Source organism: Homo sapiens, chromosome 4, assembly GCF_000001405.40.
Source record: "Homo sapiens chromosome 4, GRCh38.p14 Primary Assembly".
NCBI classification, from domain to species: domain Eukaryota; kingdom Metazoa; phylum Chordata; class Mammalia; order Primates; family Hominidae; genus Homo; species Homo sapiens.
The window spans coordinates 120,672,848-120,696,395 of record NC_000004.12 but is presented as its reverse complement, the minus strand read 5'-3'; the positions used below and the strand labels follow the sequence as shown (position 1 = coordinate 120,696,395).

The window sequence follows — 23,548 nt, the reverse complement described above, 5'->3', positions numbered from 1 at the left end:
AGACACTAAACAAGAGAGTAGGTAAATTACAGTGGGACAGAAAGTGACAGGTACTGTGTAAAAAGTAAATTTGAACAGAGTAAAGGGAATCCAGAAAGGATGACAGATTTCAGTTTTAAATTGGGAGGTCAGAGCAGGCTTCCTTGGAAAGTGATCAGACTCTAAAGCTTATTTTCTTTATACCACACTATGCTGCTACTTCTGTGTCAAAATTCATTATTATTGGATTACCCCCTTCTTACCCAATTAGGGCCCTGAGCCTTTCTGAGTTTCTTATTGCTGTGAATGTAAATCTTCTTTCCTCCGTAAAGAAAGAGGGCAAGGATTTTTTGTTTTGTTTTGTTTCAGTGTAAGGTTTTCCCAAGCCTAACCTCAATTAAAACTCCAGCTTTCTTTACAGTATTTTTACAAGCCATTTCCTCTCTCATTATATTTTTCATGGTGTTTTCACATTATTTAACATGTCTTATTTCACAACGGATATGATTTTGAAGAGTTTCATGTCAGTGGAATTTTTCTGAATAACATCAAACTTTAAACTCCATTTTTTTTGGTAACTTGGACAGTTGTGCCTTGCATTTTCTGTGTTAATATTTTTAGTTATGGGGCTGTTTAATGCATGTTGAGCCAGGTGGGAATGTGGCAGAGCTCATATGAAATAAACTTGTTACCTTCCTTAGTTAAACAAAGTGTATATAATAAGAAATAGAAAAAAGAAATAGTGTGTAATAAATTTCTGCTTATGATACTTAAAACAGCATTAGCTTTTTATTTCACAAGTGGTACTAAACTGAAGGGATCACTGCTGAGAAATGTCTTATGCCATTTATGTTATAGAGAGAGATGCCATCTAGACCGTAAAGCATTTTGCTTAAATAGTTTAATATGAAATGGCAAATACATTCCATTAGGATAAGAAAGGTATTGTTGCCAGGGAGTTGTTTCACTGGAAATGTTTAAATCCAGCAGCTGGGAAAAGGGAAGGGTGACTCGGGTACAAAGGACACCGATTAAATGCAGTAACTTATTAATTTTCTTTGCCAATAGTGTGAGTGTTAAATTTTGTTTATAAATTTTGTTTATTTCAGTATAATATGGTTGGTCTTTGGGTCTTTTCTAGGTTTGTGATTTGGCTTTTAGCCTGAAGAAAATGCTGATTCGACACAAGATGACTCATAATCCCAATCGTCCCCTGGCAGAATGCCAGTTTTGCCATAAGAAGTTTACAAGGAATGACTACCTCAAAGTGCACATGGACAATATCCATGGTGTAGCTGACAGCTAATAGGGGCTGTAAAGGAATTAAACTATTCAGAAGGGCTCCTAATATGAATCCCAGATTTTTATCACCTGATCAGCATAACAGAAGTAGCCAAAAGTGACTTACTGGTCTCATAGTTCTTATTTGCCTACATTTAGAGTCTGTAGATGCATATGCAACCAAAAAAAAGTCTTACTTTTAACAAGAAATGGTATAAATGGAAAAAAAATACAACTCCATAGCCTTGCAAAATGCAACTTGTGCTCTGTCTTATAAAAATGGAGAAAGGAGTCATGGCTCTCTTTCTTGGCCATCCCTCTGTAATGAAGTTTATAATATACTTCCCTAATAGGCCTTTTTATTTTATTGTTATTCTTTGTGTGTCTGTGTGTCTGTGTGTCTGTATGTGTCTGTGTGTGTGCACTCACTTGCAAATGCCAGTTGTTGCAGCTGGTTTTACCAATTTAAATAGAAATAAATCAAGATATCCAACTATTTCTTTGCAGATGAGGATAAGAATAAGTTATCAAAGTCTCAAGTTTGATAGGAAAATAAATAGTTGCTATTTTATAAGACAAACCAAGAGCTGAGCTTATCTAATAGCTCTGTGCAACAAATGAGTTTAAAATAGATATTTGATAACTAAAACATCTATTAAAATATTGCTCATTTTAGAGGATTCTTAGGAAACATTATTTATTCTCATCATTCAGATGCAGACATTCATGGTCTGGAATACTTTTATAAGTTCTACACAAAAATGACCATCACATTTAAATATTCAGCAGGCTACCCCTCTTGAATTTAGACCATTTAGCTTTAGAAATTAACAGTATACCAATATATATAATTAAAAATAGAAACCAAATAGATTCTCTGTATTTGGCAACAGAGTGGCAGAACAATAGTGGCATCTCCACATTTGTTAGGATGAACATAGCCCTTTCCCCTCTCCTTCCATAAAAGTGCACAGAACATGTTAGTGCAGATACAGTCCTCAGAACATTAACATTCCATTTTGCAAAAGACATTTTCCAGAATCTTGGCAGTAGGTAATTCTGAAACACTTTTGAATTACCTTCAATCATCCCATATAATTAGGAATCCAGAATACAAAGTACAAACTTGGCAATTGTTATGATTGAAACTGTCACTGATGCTTAAGGGAAATTGAAGCAAGAAGCATAATTTCTTCCTTTAGGTTATATTTCAGCAAAATACTTGACAGCAACATACAATGAACAGCTTGTTTGGAGAGATGATATGATACAATGTAATAGTGATGTCAAAATAACCTGGAGGAATATCCAAAAACCAGAAAAACGTTAAAATGAAGCCCAACTCATGAACCTCTCTAACTGAAGCCCAGTCAAAAGAAAGGAAGTATAGTTTTAAGGAAGTTATTTGGTTCTAATGAGTTAAGGAGAAAGGTTATCTGAGACACAGTTCTTTGACTTCAGGAATCTCATTTTAGAATTATATTCATGCCCAGTTCCAGTTTTAAAAAGAAACATAAAGATTCAATGTAGACATTTGAATGTTGTAAAATACTAAATTTGAAACTCAGAAGAGATAACTTTTAAAAACATAAATCCTAAAATTATAGTTTAGAAGATATTTAAGTATAGTTATATGTAGTATTTTGAATCTGAAATTATAGACTGTATTTTATAAAAATAAATTTTGGTCTTGTTTCTCACTATATCATTTGTTTCAACAATATATTTTTAGATCTAAAGTGTTTTCATTTTAATATGATAGTGTGTTTAATATCATTTGAATATAAAAAGACAGCTGTAAAATTTGATAGTGTGTATTATTTAAGCACATCCTGTATATTTCTTTGAATGCTGCTTTCTCTATATGGGATGCTTTATATCCCGATTATGTGATGAATGTAAAACTTGAAAGGAGTCCAAATTCCAATTTTGTGTAATCTCAGTGAGTCACAGTTCACATGGCTGCTGGGGAAATTACCCTGAAAACTGTGGTGTCGCTATGCTGTGGAGTAAACAGACAGGCAAGAGGTGCTGGGCTTTATCCTGCTGAAGGTTTATAGACATGGAAATCTTTAGAAAATGGTGTAGAAGGACCTACACCAGAGAGTGGTACACCACTCTCTCCTTTCAGAGGACTGAAACCAAAACAAGTCCTTAGTAGACTATTTGTATGCTGTAAATTTTTATCCAAAAGACAAGTATTCATGGGTAGTTTCAGATATATTAGCATTTGCTTGCTAAAACTTTTAAATTACTTAGTAATAACCAAAAAAAGACACTATTTTAGGCATGATTGATCAATTGAAAGCATAGATAATCATAAGGAAAAGTCTTACAGACAAGCTGAAGTACAGGTACCTACTTTGAAATGTCTTCTGTTTCCTGCTGTGAAAGATTTTGGCTGGGGTATTTTCTTGAGAAAAGACCAGACCCTTAGGTGCCTATAAAGTCTAAGTAATTGAGACTTAGAAATTGGCTAAGTAAATTTAAGAGACGTTCAATAATGTAGGTGGGTTCAGATACCCTTTTATAATAACTGTCTTCTTAGTATATTAACACTCAAGATGTTTGTGTATCTTTAATTTGCCTTTGTTTCACAATAACTGGCTTTTGTTTTCCTTTTCATGGTGTGTTGTTGGCTATATAGAGGCATTTATTGGTAAATTATAATCAGCAGTTGCACCATGGAAGTATTCTTGGTGATAAATTCTTGGGGTTACATAGTATAGTTAACATGTTATTTTCAAGAAACATGAGTGTGTGTGTCTGTGTGTGTGTGTCTGAAGAGTATCACTTATATGCAGTGCATATACATGTAAGTGCATTACTTTGCTCAAATATCTTCTGACCTATTACAGTCAACTCATGCATGAGTGTGAACATGTATTACAGAAGGTCTTACAGCCTTAGTTTCTGTTTTAGATTTTATGTGCTGCTTCCTTTCTCAAACAAAAGCATGAAAGGAAAGAGGATAAGTACTAGAAATATTCATTTTTTTCCTTCACAAATCTAAATGTTGCTTATGAAAACTCATCTTAGAGTAATGAATATGTGGAAGTGGGTAGGTAGGAGGAAATGTGCCTCTTTAAAATCCTAAAATTTTACCATTGATATTGACATTTGTTTGCGTGTATATAAATGGAGCATGTGTAAATATAGAATTCCAATAGCATTTTTTATTTTATTATAAATCTATAATAAATATATATAAATCACTACCAGACTTGGTGTTAGCATTTTATTTTACTATAGAACTATGGTACCATTCTATGGTAAAATCCAAATGAATTGCTTTAAAGTTGTTTTTGATGAATGAAAGAAATGTAATTGCCATTACCTCCAGACCTCATGCTTTTATACTTTATACATCCAAGTGTTTCTCAATCTGCAAAGTACCTCTGAAGTTGAGCCAAGTTGGTCTCAGGGCTATAAGAGATATTTTCCTTGCCTCTCTTCTCATTCCTGGTTATACAAAGAACAATGTGAAAAGGATCATCACTAAGAATGAATGAAACCTGGTAACTAAGAATGAATGAAACCTGATTAGTAGCATCTTAAGTAAAAATAACTTGATGCTCACAAATATAATTTAAGGGTAATAAAAGTTATGGCAAATGTTTCAGGTATTCCTTTTATTTTAAATTTATGTTTATCATTTTGATGTTGCCCCAATCTTGTGAGATTTTCTTGATACAAAAAATAATCATCTGAGTAGTGGATTTAGAAATTATGCATTCATTTAACTTTGATTTTTCAGAATCAGCTGAGGCACTAGTTCTTTGGAGCTGACTCATAGCCTTAGCTAGCTTGGGCTTAAAACTGTATTATCACTCTACACATTGTTAATTTGTTGTATGACAGAATAAAAAATTAACTCTGGAGCCTTCATTGTGGGCATGTTAAAATATTCTAGATATTCTAGGCCCAGGAAATAGTCTGGAATGTAACAACTACTTATATACTAAAATAGTGCTGCAGATGCAATGTCCAAATTCCTCTTCTTCCTTTTTTAAAAAAATTCTTAACACAATACTGAAACAAATGTTCATATTTAGTTAGAAAATATATAGTATTTAATTTCCTGAAATTAAAACATATATTTAGTTACCTAAATATTTGATTAGCATGTTTAGCTTCCTAATAATGCAAACTTTTAGCCAATTAGAATAAGGTCTTAGTCCTTGAACCCATGCCACCTTAGCATACTACATGGTAGGAGGAAACTAATCTAAGATGTTAAATTATATCAATAATGCATATGTTTAAAATTAAGAAAGCATATAGGACCACTGAAGCTTGATCATCTAAATCAATGCAAAACAGTTCAAACAAAATATCACTGCTCCTGACAAGGGAAACTGTAGACCTACTAGGAATTAGCTACACTTAAAAAATTCAAAAAATATCAATTTATCTCTTTAAAATAGTATAAAAATGAAGAGAGTCCCAGCTCACAATGGATACGTGAATCACTCCATTACTATTTTTTGATTTTGTCTTCTTACAGACTATCTAATAATGCTTTCTTTCCTTAATTTTATCTGATATCTTTTTCTTTAATGTTTGACTGGCATATCTTTTTTCATTTTTCTACTGAAAACTTTTCTGTGATTATATGAAAATTTTACATTTTTTAAATGAACTGATGTTAAGATTTCTTATTTTTTATCCTGTCTGACAGCACTGAATTGAGTGCTTTTCAGTCCGCGATGATGGCTTTGTCCTGCCTTTCTCACTGTCTCATCTTGCCTCATTTGGATGGTGGCCTGAGCTTGTATTGGAGGCCCTTCTCAAAGAGAAATCTGGTGCTTCATACGTAGCATATGAAATTTATCTGGACACATGTATAGTAATACATTTAAAGCTGAATGAGTTCATTATTGGAATTAGTGTTAAAACAATATATTATCTATTCATTCCTTAGTATCTGATAAATACATAAAAACATGAAGTACATTGACCCCAACTCTATACTTTTTATTTTCTAAAGTAATTATTAGCATCTGAAGAACCAAAATTGCCTTTAATGGATGAAAACTGGTTGGAAACTAAATGTTAATGACATGTGAGCAAACTATATAGTTCTCATTCTGTGTAGGCATATAAAGAGTATGGAGATGGGGAGCAATGTGACATTTAATTGATTATAACACTTTTATTTAAATTGGCAAACTGATGGGTCCTTTTGTGGATTACTACATGTAGTAATTAAGAATTTTGAGGCTGGACACGGTGGCTCATGCCTGTATTCCCAGCACTTTGGGAGGCCAAGTTAGGCAGATCACTTGAGCCCAGGAGTTCGACAACAGCCTGTGCAACATGGCGAAACCCCATCTCTACCAAAAATACAAAAATTAGCTGGGTGTGGTGGCACGCACCTGTAATCTTGCCTGTAATCTCAGCTACTCAGCTGAAGCAGGAGGATTGCTTGAACCCTGGAGGCGGAAGTAGCAGTGAGCCAAGATTGCACCACTGCACTCCAGCCTGGGCAACAGAGCGAAACCCTGTCTCAAGAAAAAAGAAAAAAAAAAAAAAGAATTTTGAAAATCTAACTAGTGGAAATCAATCATTACTTTTGACTTGTCTAGTTTTATTACTGAAATGTAGGAAATCTTCTCTAGACCTTACTTCTAATCAAAAGGCTCACCACATAAGTAAAATAATTGTTTGCTGCTCATCTTCCACCTGACAAACACAGTGCATAGCTTTATCCAGAAAAAAAAAAGAATATAAAGCAGGGTCAAGTACAACTGTATCACTTTCATTCTTTCCTTCTCTCCTCGCATAAAATCCATCTCTTATGTTGTTTCAGCTGCAGTATAACTGGTGTAGTCTCCAGTTCTACCCTTTTAAGAGTGACAAGCTGGTTTTGTTCCTGGACTCAAATTATGATATTTAGGATATTAAATTGTTTCCTTTCTGCTCTGACTAAAATATGAAATTGGGGTCTACAAATTTAGCTGGTTAAGATACTATTAGACTAAGTATGTGAGTTGAGCCAGTTGGCTTTATCCTGATAAAAACTATTCCACAGTTTTCTAAGCTACAGATCTGACCCGAGTTGCATCAGTGCAGTAAAGGGCAGATGACTTGTTGTTTACCACAGATCTAGATAAAGGGGGTATATGGATGGCACAGAGTCACTAGAATGAAACGAGGAATACAAAATATATGTTCTATAAGCCAAAACAATCCTGAGAAAGAACAAAGCTGGAAGCTTCACACATCCTGATTTCAAAACGTATTACAAAATTACTGTCATCAAAACAGTATTTATGCCAGTTTTTACTGGCATAAAAACAGATATGTACAGGCCAATGGAACAGAATAGACAGCATAGAAGTAAACCTTCATGTATACAGCTAAATGATCTTTAACAAGAGAGCTAAGACTACACAGTGGGAAAAGATAGTCTCTTCAATAAATGGTATTAGGAAAACTAGATATCCACATGTAAAAAAAGAAGTTGGAGCCTTACACCATATACAAAAATTAACTCAAAATGGATTGAAGATCTAAATGTAAAACCCAAAACTTTAAAACTAGAAAGAAATATGGGGGAAAATGCTTTATGGCATCATATCTGGCAATGATTTCTTGGATAGGACACCAAAAGCAAAGACAACAAAAGCAAAAATAGACAAATGGAACTACATCAAACTTAAAAACTTCTGCACAACAAATGAAATAATCAGAGTGAGAAGCAACCTATGCAATGGGAGAAAACATTTGCAAACCATGTATCTGTTAACAAGTTAATATCCAAAATATGTTAAAAATTCCTACAACTCAACAACAATAAAAAACAACCCAATTGAAAAATGGACAAAGGACTTGAGTAGACATTTATCCAAAGAAGATAAATGGCCAAAAAAAAAAGCATACAAAAACATGTTCAACATTACTAATCACCAGTGAAATGCAAATCAAAACCACTATGAAGTGTCACCTCACACCAATTAGAATGGCCACTTCAAGAAAAAGAAAATATAACAACCATTGATGAGGATGTAAAGAAATGGAAAGCACTGTGCACTATAGGTGGGAATGTAAAATGGTACAGCCACTATGGGAAACAATATGGACATTTCTGAAAAAAATAAAAAGACCGTATGATCCAGCAAACCCACTTCTTGTTACTAATCTGTATTAGTCCATTTTGTGCTGCTATATCATAATACCTAAGACTTGATAATTTATAATGGATGAAAATGTATTGCTCACAGTTCTGGATGTCGGGAAGTCCAAGATCAAAGTGCAAGCACTGGCAAGGATGTTATTGTTGTGTCATTCCATAGCGGAAGGTGAAAGGGCACAAGAGAAAAGGGGATTGAACTCATCCTTTTATAAGGAAACTATTCTCACAATAGTGGCATTAATTCACTCATAAGGGCAGAGCGCTCATGACCTAATCACCTTCTAAAAGTCCCACCTCTTAATACTGTTACAATGGCAACTAAATTTCAACATGAATTTGAGAGGGGACAAAGATTCAAACCGTAGTATTATCCCAAAGAATTGAGAACTGGATTTCAAAGAGATATTTGAACACATTGTAGCATTATTCACAGTATCAAGAGGTAGATGTAGCCTAAATGTTCATCAGTGGATGAATGGATAAAGAAAATTTCATGTACACCTACAATGGAATAATATTTAGCATTACAAAAGAAAGAAATAATTTCATATGCTACAACATGGAAACTTGAGGACATTATGCTAAATGAAATAAGCCAGTTAGAAAAAGACAAATACTGCATCATTTCACTTAAATGAGGTATCTAAAGTAGCCAAACTAATAGAAAATAGAATGTAACAACCAGGGAAGGCAAAGAAGGGAAAATAAGAGTTGTTAAATGGGTATAGGGTTTCAGTTTTGTGAGATGAAAAAGTTCTAGAGGTCTGTTACACAGCAATATGCAATAGTTAACACTACCGTGCTGTATACTATACACTTAAAAATTGTTAAGATGAAAAAAGAAAATGTATGTCCTATAGATAGGGTTACAATAATACTCTTCTAAAAATAAGTACGTTTAAATTAAAATTTCAGATAAAAATACTGCAATTTAAGAATTAAAACATCCTTCCTAAGGCATATATGTTATATGTAGAGTTGAGATTTAACCTTCATCTCCTGAGTTTTGTCTCTCTTCTTACTGGAGGTCATATTACAAATATACAATTTCAATTCTGAGTTTGAATTTTATCTCTAAATGGATAAAGATGTGACCTTCTTTCAGTACTCCTTTGAAGGAGTGATTTGTAACTTAAGTATAGAAACATATGATTATATATAATATAAATTTTTGTATCTGATGATTAAATTAAAACTAATGTTCAATTAGACCAAGTTTAGCTAAGTCAGAAAAGTAAGTAAAACATATTTTGGGGAAGGGGAAGGGAATGGTCAATTATTACCAACTTTGAATTTGAGATGAGTGTTAATATAGATATTTAATAGATAAAATCTTTAAAAGCTTATTTAAACACCAAATTAATGACATTTTCACATTTCTTATATATTACCTTCTTCTTTGAAAATTACACCTTTAGCTAGTTTCCTGGATTGTCTATTGCAAATGCACAAATGTCTGAGGAGTAAAAATACACATATGTAATTGAAATGAATAGTATATAAACTTCATGTTATAAATCAGATATAAGATTATCAGTTAGAAGCACGAAATATCCTGAACAGTTTTGCTTTAACTGAGGAAATACTTTAACAAAGGTACAATGTAACACATCAATTTTAAAATTTAGTTACAAAATATATTTTAGTTGATACTCAAAGCTATATAAGTCCACAATTCTCTCTATTCCTAGGAGAGAGAAAGGAAAGAAGAATGAAAGGAGTATTAGGCCGTTCTTGCATTGTCATAAATACCTGAGCCTGGGTCTCAGGTATTACCTATAAAGAAACAAATGTTTAATTGGCTCACAGTTATGCAGGATATACAGGAAGCATGGTATTAGCATCTGTCAGGCTTCTGGGGAGGCCTCAGGGACCTTTTCTCAAGGCAAAGGCAAAGCAGGAGAATGCATATCACATGGCCAGAGCGGGAGCAAGAGAGAGAAGTGGGGTGGGTGGGGAGATACTACAGACTTCTAAACAACCAGATCTCACAAGAACTCACTATTGCAAGGAGAACACTAAGGGGATGGTGCCAAACCATTCATGAGAAATCCACCCCATGATGCAATCAACTCCCACAGGACTCCACCTCCAACATAGGGGATTACAATTCAACATGAGATTTAGAGAGGATACATATCCAAACTATATGAAAAGGAATAAAGGACAAAAAGAAAAGGAGGGAAGAAAGACCATAAATTTGAAAAGATGATAAATCTGTAACATCATTTACTTAACTGAATGATGTCAATTTTTTTAAACAAAACAGATTTAATAGTATCTACTTGTTGAGTTTGTTTTGAGAAATAAATCAGAAAAAGCATAACACTATCTGCAATGGATGCCTGACACAGTTCGAGTTCAAGAAGTGGTATTGCCTTAGCTCCTCCAAATATTTCACCTATATATGCTGCTTAGAAACCTCCCACCACTCCGCAGCATTCCAGCTTACACCCTGAAGCAAAATAGTCATGAGCCAAATTGATAACATTTTAATTTGTATATCATGACATAACTATAGTGATAGAAGCATTTCATTTGGGAATATTTTTGAAAGTCCTTAAGCACTGTACTTACCAATTTAACACATAATACTTTATTAATGATACCTATTCTTTTAACTAAAACATCAAAAGAAGATATTTTATCAGTACCTAGACTATCAGGTATTTTTTATTATGTTTGAACTATATCCAGCTCTTATCTTAAAACTTAATCTAATCAATAACTTTGATTTTATAAACCTTCAGCTACCTACCTCCTTATTAACAAAATTAAATAATAGTATTCAAATATTCAAAAGAGGGAATAACCTTACTATATTAATCACATTTTAAGTGATATAGCTCATATCAAAATGAAATTTGCCATAAGTAATAAAAACTGGCTATTAAAATAATGTAATTACATCAAAAACCACAAATTAATTCAAGTGTTTACATATGAATCTGAATACATCTTTCCTTTTTTAGACACATTAAAAGAAAAGGAAGAAATACTCTGAGAAGATTAAGAAACCGAAATTTGTCATTTATGCATTATGGCTAACTTCAGCTGATATTTTGGGGGAAGAAAAAGGTAAAATGACATCCTATGAGATGAAAAACAAGTTTACATCTTTGAAAAATAATATTAATGTAATATTCAATGTAATATTCTTTGAGAATATTACATTAATTTTTTTATGTAATTCATGTATTTATGTAATTTTTATTCATGTAATTATTCATGTAATTATTCTTTGAGATAATTTTTGAATACTGGTTCTCTGAGCAAAAGAACAGTAGTGAAATATTATAAAATTAAAGGCATTTTATAATACAGGATCATGTTGGTCAGACATGAGTACTATTGCAAATTAGATAAGCCCCAAAAGGAGAGCATTAATTAGAAGTGCCCCAATGTGATTGATAAAGGGAGCCTGAGCAGCCAGAAATGATAAAGAACACAAATCTTGAAGATCTGAGTGTCTTTTGGCCTTCATGGTATCTGAATAGTAGGGTATGTTAACATCTCTGAAAAAAAGCCTGATTTTCATATTCTCTTTAGTCTTGCTATCGTTAGAGACTCCAGGAGAAGTGGATTTGTTTTCTTAATCAAATTAGGTATGTTCATGGAACTGGTCCAAATATGACCTTCTTTCTTGCTGACAAGGAAGTGCTTATCTGACGGGGTGTGTTTCATCAATTAAAATATTTCTCATCTTATTTGGATGCTTTGTAGTCCCTGATATAAGGGGATATGCTTGGATATGAATGTTAAATGTTGAGGCTCACTGTATATCAAGCTTTTGTTGTTTATAATTGTTGTTGTGACGTGTTTTCAGAAGGAATTGTCCCGACCAAAATGTCTGACATTAACTGATCTTTCTCCACAGAACATCCTGTGGTAAATTATTACATTAATGACTCCCAGTAAATCATGGCTCCTGGCACATGAGTAAGCAGAAGCAAGGCAGTAGAATAACCTCTCACTCAACCTACAGAACCATGAAAAATAATTCATTACTGTTGTTTTAAACGCCCAAATTATGTGGGGGTGGTTGTTACAAAGTAATAGATAAATACAGAAATTAGTATATAGAAAAGCGTTTCTACTTTAACAAAATCCTATAATATATGCCATTGTCTTTGGGACCAGGCAATGGGCATAAGCTGGAAAAAAATAGCAAGTGAGCTTCTGATAGAGATTGGAGGAATGGCAAATACATTTTAGTGAATGCTGAAAAAGTGTTGAGGCTGCTATTGGAGGTTTGAAAAATAGCGACCCATGTTTTTTCATTATGAAGCAGTTTGTCTCTGTAGTAAAATTAAAGTTAGAAAATATGTACCTAATGAATATGTAGACCTAGCTAAAGAGCCTCCCACAAAGAATGAAGAAACTGCAATTGACTTCTTTTAGCTGTATATGATAAGGTATAGGAAAAGAAAGATTAACCAAGGAAGGAATGTTCAATTTGCAAACAGAATTTAGAAGAAATATAGATGAACCAAGTCATGCTGGGTTGAGGAAAATAGAATGGTTTTACATTTCCAGTCTCTTTAGCCAACAGATTCTCAAAGTAGGAAAAGCCTCAGGGCAAAATCAAATCAGGGATGTTATTCATAAAAGCTTTTATAAAGATGTCAGGAAGATTGAAGGCAATGGCCTAGTAGACCCCCAGTTCAAATAGACAAAAAGATTTCTAAGGATATTAAGAGTGTTGTTCCCGACATTTCCTGCTAACTAGAGAGGTCTGTTGTAAAAGAATTATAGAAATGGTATTTGGGGTGTGGAATAAACCTCAATCATAAAAGTGCCCAAAGAGCATCAGATTAAAAGGGACTGAGTCAGTAAAGAATGAAAAAGCAGCTGGACCCCACCCAACATTCTGTGAGCAGGAAGAAGACTGGGAAAACTCTCCCACTATTTGAAGCTATTCAAACAGACCATTTCCTATGAAAAAAGAAGACCCTCTCTAAGGACGGAACCAAGAAGAGCAATGAAGAAGGGAGCAACTCCTGTGGAACGAGACTGGGCCCTCATTCCTTGGCTTTGAATGGGAACATGTTTTTAAACGTGTCCAGCTGGATTTCAAAACTTCCATGTGCCTATTATGTGCCTCTCATTTCTCCTTTATTTGTCATCTGCATATAGGAAAAGTTTTATTTCCTTGTAGGACTCTTCAGGTTATCTATTTTATCTTGGGTGGGTTTCAGTAGTTTGTGGTTTTCTAGTCATTGGTCAATTGAACAATTTCATCTAAGCTGTCAAGTTAGTGTATAGAGTTGTTAGTTGGTAATGATAGCTCCTTCATTCCTGATACTGGTTTACTGTGTCTTTTTTTTCGTGGTCAATCTTATTAGAGAGTTATTAATTTTATTGATTTTTCAGAGAAACAGCTTCTGATTTTATTGATTTTCTATATAGATTTTCTGAATTTTATTTTATTAATTTCTGTTCTTATATTTACTATTTTCTTTCTTCTACTTACTTAGAACTAATTTTGCTCTTCTTTGTCTAGTTTCTTATGGTAGGAGCTTAAATTGCTGATTTGAGACTTTTTTCTTATATAAGCATTTAACGTTGTCAGTTTCACTCTGAATTACTGTCATACCATCCCACAAATTTTGATATGTTGTATTTTTATTCAGTTCAAAATATTTCTTGCTTTTCTTTTAGACTTACTCTTTGGTCTATGAAATATGTAGAAATTTATTGCTTGATTTCCAAGTACTTGATGATGTTCTTAGTATCTTTCTGTTGTTAATTTTTTGTTTGATTCTATTATGGCCAGATAATATACTTTGTATTACTTAAATGTTTAAAAATTTATAGTATGTGTTTTATGACCCAGGATATGATCTGATTTGAAGAATGTTTTGTGTTCATCATAATATGATGAAGAATATGGATGAAGTATTCTATAAATATCAGCTAGACCCTTTGATTGTTGGTGCTGTTTAATTCTTCATAGCCTTGCCAATCTTCCTGTCTCCTAGTTTAATCTATTCCTGAAATAGGAGTATTGACATTTCTGATTATTATGGTGAATATGTCTTTCTTCTTTTCGTTCTGGCAATTTTTGCTTTATGTATTTCAAAGTTCTGCTTCAGAGTGCATACTCATTTAGAAATGTTGTTATGTGAATTGACACTTTTTATTGTCATGTAATATCCCTCTTTATCTCTGGTAATTCCCTTTGTTCTGAAATCTACTTTATATAATACTAAATTAACCATTTCATTTATGTTTGTTACCACTGCTTTATATTCCTTTCTTTCCTCTTTCCTGCCTTCTTTCAGGTTATTTGAATATTTTTATTATTCCATTTTATTTTGTCTATTGTGTATTTTTATATGTCTCTCTGTGTAATTTTTTAGTGGTTGCTCTGAAATTCCTATAAACCTACTTACGTTTTCACAATCCACTTAAAATCAGTATTTTACTACTTCAAAAGGAATGTAGAGATCTTACCCCATATCGGTTCCTTTACTCTTCCCTCTTTATGTTATAGTTGTTTGACATATTAAATCTACCTATATTGAAAACTCCATCAGGCAGTGTTAATTTTTTGCTTTCAACTGTCAAACATATGTTAAATAACTCAAGTGGAGAAGAATAGTGTGTTATGTTTACCTAGATTTTTGCCACTCTGTTTCCCTCCTTCATTCTTAAAGTTCTAGGTTTCCTTCTCATGTCACTTCCCTTCTCTGAATAACTTTCTTTAGCAAAAGTTTCAGAGCAGATCTGCTGGTAACAAGTTTTCTCGGTTTATCTTCATCTGCAAATGTGTTTACCATTCCTGAAGGATATTTTTAATGGATATGGAATTCCAGGTTGACAGTTCTTTTCTTTCATCACTTTAAAATACTGGTTCAGGTCTCTGTGGTTTCCGATGGGAAATATGTACTCTTTTGTGTCGTTTTCCCCTTAGAGGTAATGTTACTTCCTGTTGACTGATTTCTAGATTTTTCTTTGTCTTTAGTTATAAGTAATTTGATTATTGTGTGCCTGGGTGTGGATTTTTTTAAGTTTGAGGTTTGCCATGATCCTCTTTTTAAAAAAGTTTCAATAGTTTTTTTGGGGGTACGGTGGTTTTTGGTTACATGAGTAAGTTCTTTAGTGGTATTTTCTGAGATTTTGGTACACCTGTCACCCAAGCAGTGTACACTGTACCCAATATGTAGTCTTTAATCCCTCCTCCTTCCAGCCTTCCCCACTGTGTCCCCAAAGTCAATTGTATCATTCTTATGCCTTTGCATCTTCATAGCTTAGCTCCCACATGTAAGTAAGAATATGCTATATTTGGTTTTATATTCTTGAGTTATTTCACTTAGAATAATGTCCTCCAGCTCCATCCAAGTTGCTGCAAAGGACATTATTTTGTTCCTTTTTATGGCTGAGTAGTATTCCATGACGTTATATAGGCCATGTTTTCTTTATCCATTCACTGGCTGATGAACACTTAGGTTGGTTCCATATTTTTACAACTGCGAATTGTGCTGCTATAAACATTCATGTGCATGTGCTTTTTCCTTTTTTACCCCATAAGTTATTGGGGTACAAGTGGTATTATGTTACGTAAGTTCTTCAACAGTCATTTGTGAGATTTTGGTGCACCCATCACCCAAGCAGTATACACTGCACCCCATTTGAAGTCTTTTATCCCTCGTTCCCCTCCCGCCCTCCCCCCAAGTCCCTAAAGTCCATCATATCATTCTTATGTCTTTGCGTCCTCATAGCTTAGTTCCCACATATCAGTGAGAACATATGATGTTTGGTTTCTCATTCCTGTTACTTCACTTGCTATAATAGTCTCCAGTCCATCCAGGTCTCTGCAAATGCAGTTAATTCTTTTCTTTTTATGGCTGAGTAGTATTCCATCATATGCATATACCACAGTTTCTTTATCAACTCCTTGATTGATGGGCATTTGGGTTGGTTCCATGATTTTGCAATTGTGAATTGTGCTGCTATAAACATGCATGTGCAAGTATATTTTTCATATAAAGACTTCTTTTCCTCTGGGTAGATACCCAGTATCTACTGGATCCAGTATCTGCTTGATCAAATGGTAGTTCTACTTGTAGTTATTTAAGGAATCTCCACACTGTTTTCCATAGTGGCTGTACTAGTTTACATTCCCACCAGCAGTGTAGAAGTGTTCTCTGATCGCCACATCCACACCAACATCTACTGTTTTTTGATTTTTCGATTATGGACATTCTTGCAGGATTAAGGTGGTGTTGCATTGTGGTTTTGATTTGCATTTCCCTGATCGTTAGTGATGTTGAGCATTTTTTTCATATGTTTTTGGCCATTTGTATGCCTTCTTTTGAGAATTCTTTATTCATGTCCTTAGCCCACTTTTTAATGTTTTTTTTTCTTACTGATTTGTTTGAGTTCGTTGTGGATTCTAGATATTAGTCCTTTGTCAGATATACAGATTGTGAAGATATTTTCCCTCCTTGTGGGTTGTCTGTTTACTCTGCTGACTGTTCTTTACACCATGCAAAAGCTCTTTAATTTAATTAAGTCCCAACTATTTATCTTTGTTTTTATTGCATTTGCTTTTGGGTTCTTTGTCATGAAATCCTTGCCTATGCCAATGTCTAGAAGGGTTTTTCCAATGTTATCTTCCAGAATTTTTATAACTTGGGGTCTTAGATTGAAGTTCTTAATCCATCTTGAGTTGATTTTTGTATAAGGTGAAAGATGAAGGTCCAGTTTCATTCTCCTACATGTGGCTAGCCAGTTATCCCAGCACCATTTGCTGAAAAGGGTGTCCTTTCCCCACTTTATGTTTTTGTTTGAATTGTTGAAGATCAGATGGCTGTAAGTACTTGGCTTTATTTCTGGGTTCTCTGTTCTATTCCAATGGTATATGTGCCTGTTTTTATACCAGTACCATGCTGTTTTGGTGACTGTGCCTTATAGTACAGTATGAAATCAGGTTGTATGATGCCTCCAGATTTGTTCTTTGTGCTTAGTCTTGTTTTGGCTATCCATGGGCTCTTTTTTGGTTCCATACGAATTTTAAAATTGCTTTTTCTAATTCTGTGAAGAATGATGGTGGCATTTTGATGGAGATTGCATTGAATTTGTAGATTGCATTTAGCAGTATGGTCATTTTCACAATATTGATTCTACCCATCCATGAGCATGGGATGTGATTCCATTTGTTTGTGTCATCTATGATTTCTTTTCAGCAGTGTTTTGCAGTTTTCCTTGTAGAGGTCTTTCTCCTCCTTGGTTTGGTATATTCCTTTTTTTTTTTTTTTTTTGGAGCTGTTGTAAAGGAGGTTGAGTTTTTATTTGATTCTCTGCTTGGTCTCTGTTGGTGTATAGAAGAGCTACTGACTTTTGTACATTCATCTTGTATCTGGAAACTTTGCTAAATTCTTTTATCAGTTCTAGTAGCTTTCTGGAGGAGTCTTTAGGGGTTTCAAGGTAAACCATCATATCATCAGCAAACAGTGACAGTTTGACTTCCTCTTTACCGATTTGAATGCCCTTTATTTCTTTCTCTCTTCTGATTGTTCTGGCTAGGACTTCCAGTACTATGTTGAAGAGGAGTTGTGAGAGTGGGCATCCTTGTCTTGTTCCAGTTCTCAGAGGGAATGCTGTCAACTTTTCCCATTCAATATTATGTTGGCTGTGGGCTTGTCATAGATAGGTGTTATTACATTGAGGTATGTCCCTAGTATGCTGATTTTGCTGAGAGTTTGTTTTAATCATAAAATGATGCTGGATTTTGTTAAATGCTTTTTCTGCATCTATTGAGATGATAATGTGATTTTTGTTTTTAATTGTTTATTGACTCACATATGTTTAACCATCCCTGCTTTCCTGGTATGAAACCCACTTGATCATGGTGGATTATCTTTTTGATATGTTGTTGGATTCAGTTAGTGTTGGATTCAGTTAGCTAGTATTTTGTTAATGATTTCAGCATCTATGCTCATCAAGAATATTGGTCTATAGTTTTCTTTTTTGGTCATGTCCCTTCCTGGTTTTGGTATTAGGGTGATGCTGACTTCATAGAATGAATTATGGAGTGTTCTTTCTTTCTCTATCTTGTGAGATACTGTCAGAAGGATGGTACCAATTCTTCTTTGAACATCTCGTAGAATTCTGCTATAAATCCGTCTGGTCCTGGACTTTTTTTTTTTTTTTTTGCTGGTAATTTTTAACTTACCATTTCAATCTTGCTGCTTGTTATTGGTCTGTTCAGGGTATCTAATTCTTCCTGATTTAAGCTAGAAGGGTTATATTTTTCCAGGAATTTATCCATCTCATCTAGGTTTTCTAGTTTTTGTGTGTAAAGGTATTCATAGCAGCCTTGAATGATCTTTTGTATTTCAGTGGTGTCAGTTGTAATATCTCCTGTTTCGTTTCTTAATAAGGTTATTTGGACTTTCTCTCTTCTTTTCTTGGTTAATCTTGCTAATGGCTTATCAATTTTATTTATCTTTTCAAAGAACCAGCCTTTTGTTTCATTTATCTTTTTTGTTGTTTGTTGTTGTTTCAACTTCATTTAGTTCTGCTCTGATCTTGGTTATTTCCTTTCTTCTGCTGGATTTGGTTTTGGTTTGTTCTTGTTTCTCTAGTTCCTTGAGATGTGACCTTAGGATGTTGGTTTGTGCTCTTTCAGTCTTTTTGATGTAGGCATTTAGGGATATGAACTTTCCTCTTAGTACCACCTTTCCTGTATCCCAGAGGTTTTGATAGGTTGTGTCATTATTGTCATTCAGTTCAAAGAACTTTAAAATTTCCATCTTGATTTCGTTTTTGACCCAGTGATCATTCAGGAGCAGGTTATTTAATTTCCATGTATTTGCATAGTTTTGAAGGTTTCTTTTTGAGTTGATTACCAGTTTTATTCCACTGAGAGAGTGCTCGATATAATTTCAATTTTCTTAAATTTATTGAGGCTCATTTTATGGCCTATCATATGGTCTGTCTTGGAGAAAGTTCCAAGCACTGTTGTGTAGAACATGTATTCTGTGGTTGTTGAATGAAATGTTCTGTATATATCTGTTAAGTCCATTTGTTCCAAGGTATAGTTTGAATTGTTTCTTTGTGGATTTTCTGTCTTGATGACCTGTCTAGTGCTGTCAGTGGAGTGTTGAAGTCCCCCACTATTATTATGTTGCTGTCTATCTCTTTCCTTAGGTCTATTAGTAATTGGTTTATAAATTTAGGAGATCTAGTGTTAGGTGCATATATGTTTAGGATTGTGATATTTTCCCGTTGGACAAGGCCGTCTATCATTATGTAATCTCCTTCTTTGTCTCTTTTAACTGCTGTTGTCTTAAAGTTTTTTGTGTCTGATAAAAGAATAGCTACTCCTGCTCGCTTTTGGTGTCCATTTGCATGAAATGTCTTTTTCCACCTCTTTACTTTGAGTGTATGTGAGTCCTTATGTGTTAGGAGAGCCTCCTAAAGGCAGCAGATAGTTGGTTAATGAGTTCTTATCCATTCTGCAGTTCTGTATATTTTAAGTGGAGCATATAGGCCATTTATATTCAATGTTAGTATTGAGATGTGAGGTACTGTTGCATTCATTGTGCTGTTTGTTGCCTGGGTACCTTGTTTTTTGTTTTTTGTGTTTTTTTACTTGTATTTTTATTTTATAGGTCCTGTGATTTATGCTTTAAAGAGGTTCTGTTTTGATGTGTTTACAGGATTTGTTTCAAGATTTAGAGCTCCTTTTAGCAGTTCTTGTAGTTGTGGCTTGGTAGTGGCGAATTCTCTCAGCATTTGTTTGAAAAAGACTATCTCTCATTAATTTATGAAGCTTAGTTTTGCTGGATACAAAATTTGGGGCTGACAATTATTTTGTTTAAAGAGGCTAAACATAGGACCCCAATCCCTTCTGGCTTATACAGTTTCTCCTGAGAAATCCGCTGTTAATCTGATAGGATTTCCTTTATAGGTTGCCTGATGCTTTTGTAACATAGCTCTTAAGACTCTTTCCTTCATCTTGACTTTAAAAAGCCTGATGACTACGTGCCTTGGTGATGATCTTTTTTGATGAATTTCCCAGAAGTTCTTTGAGCTTCTTGTATTTGGATGTCTAGATCTATATAGCAAGGCCAGGGAAGTTTTCCTTATTTTTTTCCTTAAATAAATTTTCCAAACTTTTAGACATCTCTTCTCCCTCAGGAACACCAATTATTCTTAGGTTTGGCCATTTTACATAATCCCATATTTCTTGGAGACTTTGTTCATTTTTTAAAATTCTTTTTTCTTTGTCTGATTTGGGCTAATTCAAAAGCCTTGTCTTTGAGCTCTGAAGTTCCTTCTTTTACTTGCTCTAGTCTATTGCTGAAACTTTCCACTGCATTTTGTATTTCCCCAAGTGTGTCTTTCATTTCCAGAAGTTCTGATTATTTTTTCTTTGTGATATCTGTTTCTCTGGAAAAATTTTCATTCATATCCTGGATTTTTTTTAAATTTCTTTAATTTGGTTTTCACCTTTCTCTGGTATCTCCTTGAGTAGCTTAATAATCAACCTCCTGAATTCTTTATCTGACATTTCAGAGATTTCTTCTTGTTTTGGATCCATTGCTAGGGAGCTAGCGTGATCTTTTGGGGCTGTTATAGAACCCTGTTTTGTCATACTTTTCTGGTTCCTTCTCATTTGGGTTGACTGTTTCTTCAAATTGTTCTTGGATTTATTTTTGGTTGGGCTGTGTTTTTGTTTTTAAATTTCTTTTTTCCATCTTAAAGATTGAACTTTAATGTTTATAGTTTATTTTAGCCTAACTTGATTCTTGGTGCTTTTAGGGTGAAGACTCTGTATGAGTTCCTTAGTTATAGACAGTCTTTGTGCAATGGGGCTTTCCCTTATGCTGGTTATAGTAGTTATGTGTGTGGTCTGTGGGTAAGTTAACTGTCTCCTATGGGTTTGGAATAGCAGGGATCCCTTGAAGTGTCTCATTCTCTCATAGTGTACACTTATTTATTTATTTAATTCTTCCCCAGTATTTTATTTACTGAGTTGATGATTCAGGCCTCAGACCAATAGGGAAGGTATCCCTGGGTAGGCACTGGTCGTAGCTAGGGCAGCTGGGGAGATATAACACCCAATGGTGGGCAGAGGTCCCAGCCTTGATGAAAGTGGCTGGGGGAGCTCTCAATTAGATGAAATTTTATGATGGTAAGAGTGGGATATACTTCAGCTCCTCTTCCAGGCCAGCAGGAAAGCTATCCATCTCACACCCTCACTCTTGTCCCAGTGTTCTGGCTATTCAGATGAGACAGGCACCTCTTTTCATCTGTAGGAATGTTGATGTTCCAAGTAGGGAGGACTTGTGACTCTGCCTCTCATGCAGGCCTAAATCTGAGGAGTGCTCCTCATGGTGGACTGCAATCACCCTGAATTGTTCCAGGAAGGCTGTCTGTAGGTTGCTTCCACACTGTGTTCCCATGGAAGAAGCCTCAACTGTGTCTGCAGTGGTGTGCCAGAGGGAATAAGGACTGCTTCTCCAAGGCTCTTCATGATCACAGAAGCTGCCTGCCTGTTAGGGTAGAGGTGTAGACTTTCTCTACTGCTCCCAGCACTGCAATTATGTCTCTTCTATAAGAAACTTCCCACCAGCAGAAAGATCTGGGACTCAAGACTTGCTGTTTAGATTCCTTTGTCCCATGGAGTGATCCCTTGATGTGGTGCTCTCCCCCTTCCCCTAAGAATGGGGAAGGACTGCAGAGCTGGACTGCAGTGATTGTTATTGCCCTTCTGGGTCTAGTCACTCAGTGGGGCTACCAGGCTCTGGGCAGGTGCTGGGGAATGTCTGCAAAGGATCCAGTGATGTGACCTGTCTTCAAGTCTCCCAACGGTGGATACCAGCACCTGGTCTGATGGAAACGGCAGGGGAGTAATGTAACTTTGTGAAATTCCTTGGTTTTAATTAGGTTTAATGTGCTGGCTTCCTCAAATGCTGGTTATGCTAATAGTAAACTTGTCATGCGGACAGATTCAGGGTGTCTAGTTAGCCAGGATGTTGCAGGCAGTGGTGTTGGAAGCCGTTTTCCCCTTCCTGGGTGCAGTGTTATTCAGCCAAAAGGTGATGTAATGGCCTGTGTTGGTTGGCCTCCAGGCAGGAGGTGGCACTTGCAAGAGAGCACCAGCTGTGGTGTCAGCTGTGGGATTTGAGCTTGCCTTAAATTGGCCAAAGGAAGTATTCTGGTTTCTCAATTAATGGGCGGAGCCATAAAGGTCCCAAAAGTTTACATCCTTTGTGTTAGGTGGGTCTGGGCTCAGACTCTTCTTGGGTGGGGCCTGCTGCAGCCACTGTGGGGGATGGGAGGTAGTTCTCAGGCTGCTGAGGTAATGTATCAAAGGGGAGTATAACTGTCTCTGCTGTGCAGAAGAGTTCACAAGGGGAGTGGGGAGTAGCCAGCAGCAGCAGACCTCACCCAGCTCCTGTGCAGTTGGTGAGGCTGGTCTTGATCTCACAGTGTCCCACTAGCAACACCAGGTTTAGATCCAGGCAGCCTGTGCACAGAACTCAGACCTACCCCAGGCCATAAGCCTCCCTGCAGAGATAGCAAGCACAGCTTTCTGGCCATGTCCCTCCCTGTCTGCTGGTATGGCCAGGCACCCAGCAGAGCTACACAGGCCAGGCACCCAGCTCCAGTCTGTAGCACACTTCCTGCTCACCCCCAGATTCTGTTCAAGGGAGTTCATCCCCACTCAAAATTATCTCACAGAATTCAGTCAGGAATTTCTTTTAACCTGCACAACTCCTTGAGTTTGTTGGCTGCCTTCCCCAAGGGCCCCTGTGAGATAATCAAGGCTGGTTTTCCTGAGCTCAGGCTGGAAACTGGAAATGCCTACAAAGACACTTCCTGCTGCTGCTTTTACTTTTATATTTCACACCACTCCCTAAATCCATTCCAACTCTGGGTAAAGTTAAGGTCTTCTCCAGTGATCTAGATTTGCAGATTTCCTAGTGCGGATGTGTGTTTGGAGGCAAGCTCACTCCCTCTCACACTCTGGTAACTTACAATTTGTTGCCTGTCTCACACAATAGGCCGCAGCCTGCTGCTTCTTTCAAAGGATCTGTGAATTCTTTTGGTTTTCCTGGTAAATTCCTGTGGCGGTTCTTGGGAGAAAAAAGTTCACAGTGTGAATCTCTACCCACAATTCTGTCCTTCCAA

The 23,548-nt window shown here is 35.4% G+C and overlaps 1 protein-coding gene across 13 annotated transcripts in view; it reads left to right on the top strand.

The window, feature by feature from the left end:
- The window catches only part of PRDM5 (PR/SET domain 5), a 238,436-nt gene extending 226,331 nt beyond the window's left edge, over window positions 1-12,105 (top strand). For 10 of the 13 annotated variants that reach the window (NM_001300824.2, NM_001379106.1, NM_001300823.2 and 7 more), the window contains one exon: window positions 1,121-4,481. Coding sequence is in view for 12 of the 13 variants with exons in the window: in NM_001379106.1 (NP_001366035.1) it covers window positions 1,121-1,285 (165 nt within the window). In the remaining variant the exon portion in view is untranslated. Of the gene's footprint in view, window positions 1-1,120; window positions 4,482-11,370 lie in introns of those variants that run through there. The other 3 variants (XM_047449558.1, XM_047449557.1, XM_011531566.4) reach the window with 1 other exon arrangement.